Source organism: Homo sapiens, chromosome 5, assembly GCF_000001405.40.
Source record: "Homo sapiens chromosome 5, GRCh38.p14 Primary Assembly".
NCBI lineage: Eukaryota > Metazoa > Chordata > Mammalia > Primates > Hominidae > Homo > Homo sapiens.
In genome coordinates, this window is record NC_000005.10 from 51,167,648 (window position 1) to 51,175,159 (window position 7,512).

General features: G+C 33.5%; 2 annotated features.

The window, feature by feature from the left end:
- Positions 4,469 to 6,508: an enhancer, noted in NCBI's record as "VISTA enhancer hs1321". NCBI's record gives its function as "enhancer in: forebrain[18/19] | cranial nerve[13/19]" and the evidence as "EXISTENCE:transgenic organism evidence [ECO:0001131][PMID:17130149]".
- Positions 5,096 to 5,989: an enhancer, noted in NCBI's record as "OCT4-NANOG hESC enhancer chr5:50468577-50469470 (GRCh37/hg19 assembly coordinates)". NCBI's record gives its function as "activates a minimal SCP1, AML or CMV promoter by ChIP-STARR-seq in naive and primed H9 embryonic stem cells {active_cell/tissue: H9 hESC(naive and primed)}" and the evidence as "EXISTENCE:reporter gene assay evidence [ECO:0000049][PMID:30033119]".

Consider the following 7,512-nt stretch of genomic DNA (forward strand, 5'->3'; position numbering starts at 1 on the left):
TTTGGCTGGTTTTGGACAGAAGAACAGGAGTTCATCAAACTTAAAATGGGGAAAGCTCCTGCATGAAGGCAGGATGGTATAGTAATAATATTTTCCTTCCACCTGAAGACTGGGACAAGAAGGGACACTGAATGAGATGAGGTTAAAGAGACAGGAAGAAGCCAAACTCTAAAAGGCTTTGTAAACCATGTTTAATTAAGAGCTTGGACTTATAGACAATAAGAATGGAACAGGGAATTAAAATTTGTATTTAAGAAAAATAATTCCAGGAAAAAAAGGAGGCCTGGAAGAGGATAAAATCTAAAAAAGACCAATTCGAAGGCAATGGCAAATATCTAAACAAGGTTTTCCTTCTTCCTTTTTTTTCCCCCAGCTCACCAGTATTGTTAGAGCAGGAATTACAGAATTGTACAAAACATGGGGAAATTTGTGTCGGTGCTTCTCATGTCCTTACTTTCAATCTTCTGTTCCAAGCTTAGAAGGAAACTTTAAAAAATCTTATATGTCATTAACAAGCAAAAAAAAACAAAACAAGACAAAACAAAACCACTAAAAAGTGGGCAAAGGACATGAATAGACACTTCTTTAAAGAAAACACATAAGTGGCCAACAAGTATATGAAAAAATGCTCAACATGATCTAATCATTTGAGAAATGCAACTTAAAACCACAATGAGATACCTTCTCACACTAGTCAGAATGGCTTTTATTAAAAATTCAAAAAACAACAGTTGCTAGTGAGGTTATGGAGAAAAGGAATTGCTTATACACTGCTGGTGGGAATGTAAATTAGTTCAGCTATTGTGGAAATCAGTGTGGCATTAAGTATGTTAGGAAAGAAAGCATAGGCATTTCTTATGCTTTTGTACAAAGAACTTAAAACAGAAACACCACTGGACCCAGCAATTCCATTATTGGATATATACCCAAAGGAATAGAAATTGTTCTGCCATAAAGAAACATGCATGCATATGTTCATTGTGGTACTATTCACAATAGCAAAGACATGGAATCAACCCAAGTGCCCATCAACAGGATAAACTGGATAAACAAAATGTGATACATATACACCATGGAATACTATGCAGCCATTAAAAAGAACAAGATTATGCCCTTTGCAGCAACATGAATAGAGCTGGAGGCCATAATCCTAAGAAAACTAACACTGGAACAGAAAACCAAATACCACATGTTCTCACTTATAAGTGCAAGCTAAACACTGAGTACAAAGGGACACAAAGGTGGTGACAACAGGCACCAGGGCCTACTTGAGGGTGGAGGGTGGAGGAAGAAAATAGAAAAACTACCTATCAGGTACTATGCTTAGTAACTGGATGAGAAAATAATTTGTATACTGAATTCCCATGATATAAAATTTACTTACATAACAAACCTGCACATATACCCCTGAACCTAAAATAAAAGTTAAAAAAAAAAAAAAGAAAATCTTATATTTCAGCAAAGAATCCAGAGAAGTCAAAGTCTAAAATGCACATTTTAATCCAGGAGAGCACTTCTGAAGTGGCATTTCTCCCAACTGACCTGCCTCATTCCCCACCTCACATCATTTGTGTAGCAAGTGATATGTACTAAATCATCAATTTATAGCTTTTCTGGAATCCTATGTGAATCATTGTTATTACAATTCAATTATCCTTAAGAAAATGGAAACTAAATGTGGAAGGAAATGTGTTTTCCCTTCATAACAAGCTTTCTGACTTTATACACCCTAAAGATGCAGTAATAATTAGGATGAGGGCAGAGGTTCTAGGATTTGACTATACGAGTGTTGGGCTTAAATGCTGCTGCTTTATCTCATCCATTGGTCCTTAAGGAACACCTTTTCCTCTACTTCTTCATGGCACACAGCTGTCACGGAGCACTCTCACTCAAAACATTTTAATGGCCAATGCCTAAGGAATCATGTATGAAGTCACTGTTACCTCCAATGAGAGATCTTTTCCTGACAATGTATCTACCTGGGATGCTTTCCCTCACCCTGTTTTCATATGTGAAATCATAACCTTCTGTAAGAACGATGCAAAGAAGAAAATTGTAAAGCTTTCCCCCCAGAATATACTGGGCATAATATCTTCATGCTCTGAAGTCTAGTTGGATTTTGTTTCAATCTTTTCCATGGCACCATCTTAGTCCTCAAAGTTTTGTTTTAAAATTATTTGAGAATGGAGATAATTTCATAATTTTACCTGAATTCTTTATTTGCATATAGGAAATAATAAACGTTGAATAATAAGTGCTTATGTATTCAATAAATAGCTGTTTCAGGCCTATTAGATTCTAACTACTTGGTTAGGTATTAGAAATACACCAATGAATAAGAAATAATCTCTGAATTTCAGGCCTATTAGATTCCAACTACTTGGTTAGGCATTAGAAATACACCAATGAATAAGAAATAATCTCTGGACTCAAAAAATCTCAGTGCAGGTGGAAGATTCCTCAGAAATGTTTTGGAGCATGAAGAGGACATCCTGGGGAAAAATTAAGAAGGCACATCTAGAGTCTTAAGAATTCTGGAAAGGGCTAGAATTAAAAAATACATTGTGATATCTAAATTTGGCTATCAATAGTGTTTCTTCAGGTGGCAAAAAAGAATTGCTCTTAAAATAACAGGAAACTAAATTACAAAAAGGCACATTTCAACTTAAAGTAAGAACTGTTTTTTAGTAATCATAGCATCTCCACATTAAAATTAGTTGCTTTATAAAGATAAAGAGCTTTGTATTATATTAAAAATCTAGACAACCAGCTGTATAAATGTATAAGTTTAATGTAGAAGAAATCATTGTAAGGGGTGAAAAATTTGAGTTGACAATTTTAAAGACTCTAATTTCAAGATCTATTAATTTCATATAAGAATAATAAGAACATCTCATTATATACATGTAAGGATAATATGGATTATTATGTCTGAAGCTGAATGTATTATTGAAAATAGATGCTTTTGAAACTCTAACAGAATTATTCACAAAAATTATTCTTCACTTTCCAAATATCATGAACTATGACTTTCATTTGCTAAGACGTATAAGTCTATTAAACGTGTGTGTGTGTGTGTGTGTGTAGAATATCCTAGTGATACTCCAGGTAAATTGGCATTACTCAATAAATGGAGGATCTTAAATCAATCATAACCTGTGTCAAGTTGCTGCAGAGTAAGGCCCAAAACCATTATTTTGCACAAGAAATTGTCCAAAGGTTAAGCCAGATTATCCAGAAACCTGAGCATTAAGTATGTTAGGAAAGAAAGCATAGGCATTTCTTATGCTTTTGTGCTAATCTTCTCAAATTCCCTTTTCCAAGTGATTAAGTATCAAGGAACCAGGTTCCATGGAAATGCTTGGCTCAATGAAGAGAATGAAATAGAGAAAGAAGGGAAAAAAACTGCAACAGAAATCTCTTACATTAAAAAACATATCCTAATACAATATTTATAAAAGTGCTTCAAAAGTCTTCCAGAATGCTTCAAAAGTGAAAAAAAAAATGGATGGAATACTTAAAATTTCTCACTTCTATTTCTTCCCATTGTTAAAACTCTTCTTCTGCTCTCTGCTCCATTCCATCCGACCTGTTATTATTTAAGTCCTAATCATGAATACTTGGACTACTGTAGTCTTACACTCTTTCTTGTATCTTTCACAATAACGCCAAACACATGTATCTTTAAAAACACAAATCTGATCTTGAAATCAAGCTCCTTTACAATCATTTTGCAAGAGGAAACTGAAGTTTAATGAAGTTTAAATGGATGACCAAGATCAGGGGGGCTCATGAGCAGCCATGGTCAAGCCCAGGATGCCAAAGTCCAGTTCCTCCTTCAAAATTATTTTACTTCTGTCATTGTCTTCCTAGATATTGTGTGTATATTATGGATTCTAATAGAATGATTTTACCTCAAAAATACAGTAAAATTTGGATAGAATGTTGGGACTGCATTTATAGACAGAAAGACTGTCAGCTCAAAGTTTTATTCACAAAGTACATAAAACCTGTTCAAAAAGTTGTGTTGCAGAACAATTGCTCCTAACACATAACTTGCCAGTATTTAAAACCATTCCCCCTATTTGTCTATATATTTAAATCTCTCTTATATATGCATCAAGAAGCATTTTGATTTTGTTTTTATCCAACACACAGTTTAACACATTGCTTAAATATATTAAAGAAAAATATTCGTATTAAGATTAACCCTGTGTATGTTTTCTTTATGCCGTATAAAAACTTATAACTTAAGGGGGAAAATAAAAGGAGTATAAAAATTTCCATATTCTGCTCTTCCTTTTAATTCCCGTTTTATTTTCATATTAAAATTGTCCAAATTCTACATTGAAAATTTAATAAAGTAATGAATTTGAGTAACTTTGTAAAATGTTAATATAGCCAAAATTATAATAAGAAAAATGTGGAATGTAGGAATATTTAGTTTTTAATTTGGCAAGATCTGATAGAAATTCTGTTATGCAATTCTCACATAAGAATTATTAGATGTATTGCAAATGTCATACAATAAACTGAATATAAACAAAACATAAAATTATGATGTTTATCTTTATTTTCAGATTACTGATGCTTCTAAAATGTATTAATAACATTAAAATTAAAAGTTAAATATCCTGATAGTTAATATAAGTGCAATTTTGTAAAATTCCACTTTTGTGCAACACACAGCTAACTTTTAATATTCATTTCTCATTTTCTTATTTTTCTATATTAATATCATTGCTAAAGTACAACACAAATGCTCAAATTTGTTTTTAAAATTAGCTGATGAGCTATATTTTACAGTAAATAATGTGTGATTAAATTTTAAGTTATATAAGAATCCACTCACTAATATCAAAATGTGTTTATGGCCTGGATACTATAATTTACTTTACTTCTTGTTAATTCGAATAATAAAATACTCGAAACATGGTCTTGAAAGTTTTAGGTAGATACTAATGTAAAACTACCTAACCGTCAGGAATAAAAACCTGCCATCGATGCTATTTCCATTATTTAAAATATTGAATTAAACCCAGCACATACTGTAAATTGTTTTTGCTTCTTCCTTTTAGGATAGTTGTGAAAAGTGAAATAACCAGGCAGCCTTATCTTAGGTGAGACCGTTTCGGCTTGGAAACAAACAAAGCTCTCTCTCGATGAACTGGGTTCATTTCATATTTGTGTAATACCCTGGAAGAAATTAGGTTTCAATAAAGTCCATTTTTGTCACTGCATGTAGCAATGAATATCACACCCAGCAGGGCACAGTGGCACCTGGCTGTCCAGACCCCAGTGTAGCACAAACCATCTGGGGGTAATTACAACAAGGTATTCTTTAAGGACCAGATGGGAGCAAGGAACAGAAGCCCCTACCCCTCCCAGTCATTTACAACATAATTCCTTTCAATGATATACTTAATCCTCCCACCAGCTATGCCTTTCAGCTTGCTGTTGTCACTGTTCCTTTATGTAAATTCAGACGCAAGACCGGGAAAAAGAGGGGGTGAGACAGAAAGTACAAGAAAAAAAGGGAAAGGGTGAGAGAGAGCGCCACTGGTGCCTCTAGGGACCAAAAGAAATTATTCATCCCTAAATTGTTTTCACCACAGCGAGTACAGTAACAAATTTTTTTAAAAAAAAGAGGACTGAAATTATCCTAAAGAAGGTCAATGCGACAGCCCTGTGTGGCACCAGCTGAGGTTTACTCAGCCACCTGTTAGCTAGAAAGCTCTCTGCACACGCTTATGATGCATTTAACCAGTTTAAAGGGTCTTTATTGACAGGCCAGCCACCTCCATTCAGCAGGCTGGAGCCATAGGCCTGCTTTGTGGTCATATGTGGCACACAAGCCTTAATTCAATTACGCTGTAAGCCTATCCAATCTGCATCACTGCCCTTTCACTTTTGTGCCATTTGTCTTGCATATTGTAAAGAATTTTATTTTGAAGAGGGAAAGGCACCCTACAACCCAGTTGTCTTTATTTTTCATGTAAGGTTGTGCCGCAGGTGCGCCGCCACCTTTCAACTCCCGAAATGCATTCATCTTTAAGCGATATTTTAGAGGGAAGCAGTATTTATTGTTTGGTGACACTGCTTTGTGGGTGTTGCTGATTTTTATTTTTTTTTTAATTAGGTATATGTTCAAACTCTCCAACACACCAGCAAAGAGTCTCCAAACTTGATTGTTAAAAATTCAAAAGAAGAAACAAAAAGAAAAACACACATGATAAATGAAAATGACAATTATTAGCTTTGTTCTACAATTTTTTTATTTAGAAAGAAAAGTATTTCTTAGAGTGATCATATATTAAATTTTAAATTTTGGATTTTCCTCAAGTGTCTGACACAAAATATGAATGTCTGTATATATGAGTGAGGCTCAGTGCTGCTATGTTGCTTGAAAATTTCTAATATAAGTTCCATAGAAGGTAATTAAATATATCAAGTCTGCTTATATTGTTTTGTATTTTGGTACTTTCAATTTTCCATAACATTGGACCAATGCATGTTATTGTTTGATGCTTGGTATTTTCATAGTAATGTATAGACAATGAAAAAATAAAGATAGATTTCCCAAAGTCAAGGGCTCTATTATTTTTGTAACATATTTTTCTTAAACTAAAAGTCTGCCTCGTTTAAGCATGCTTAAAATAGCATGCAACAGTGCAATAATATAGAAATGTGATAGCCAACCAAACCTACCCCCTAGAGGTCCTGTGTTTGTATTAAGAGTATGGATGATACCAAATCAGTGTTCCCCCAAATCATTAAATGACTTACCATGAGAATTGAAGGGACTTCAAAGAAGGGAGAGAAGAATCTTCTTTGTTAGGTAATGTCTATTTTCCACTCAAGTAGGAAAGGACAGTAGTGCTAGGTTACTTATCAAGGTTATTAATTGAGTAAGTGTCAGTTTTCATCATGGCAACTTCAATGTGTCTTTGGTATGGAAGTTCCCATCTCTTTTAAATTACTGAATCAAAACCACAAATATGAAGCATTCGAAAGAGACCAAGACATTTTAATTGGCAAGAAAAAATAAAAATATTTGTATCTGATCCTCAAAATAAAAGGTGTTTTAAAAACTACTTTTATATGCATGTAAATTTAATGTATGTGTATCTCTCAACAATTCTATGCCCATTTCCTTTGTGTTCTCCTATGGGATTGCAGTTTAAAAATGAGAAAACTAAGAATTAATAGAGGCTAAATGGCTTGCCTAAGAACTCAAAATTCTTGATTTCTAAGGGTTCTTTCCATTACACCATGAAGATCTCATATGACTATTTTATAAACTTTATGATTTTTACCCATCTATGCATGTATGTGTATTTAATGTATGTGTATTTCTCAGCAATTCTATGCCCATTTCCTGTTTTCCTATAGGATTGCGTTTTATCAATGAGGAAAACTAAGGGTAAATAGAGCCTAAATTCTTTTGATTTCTAATTGAAATCGAAATTCCTTTGACTTCTAATTGAAATCGAAATTCCTTTGATTTCTAAT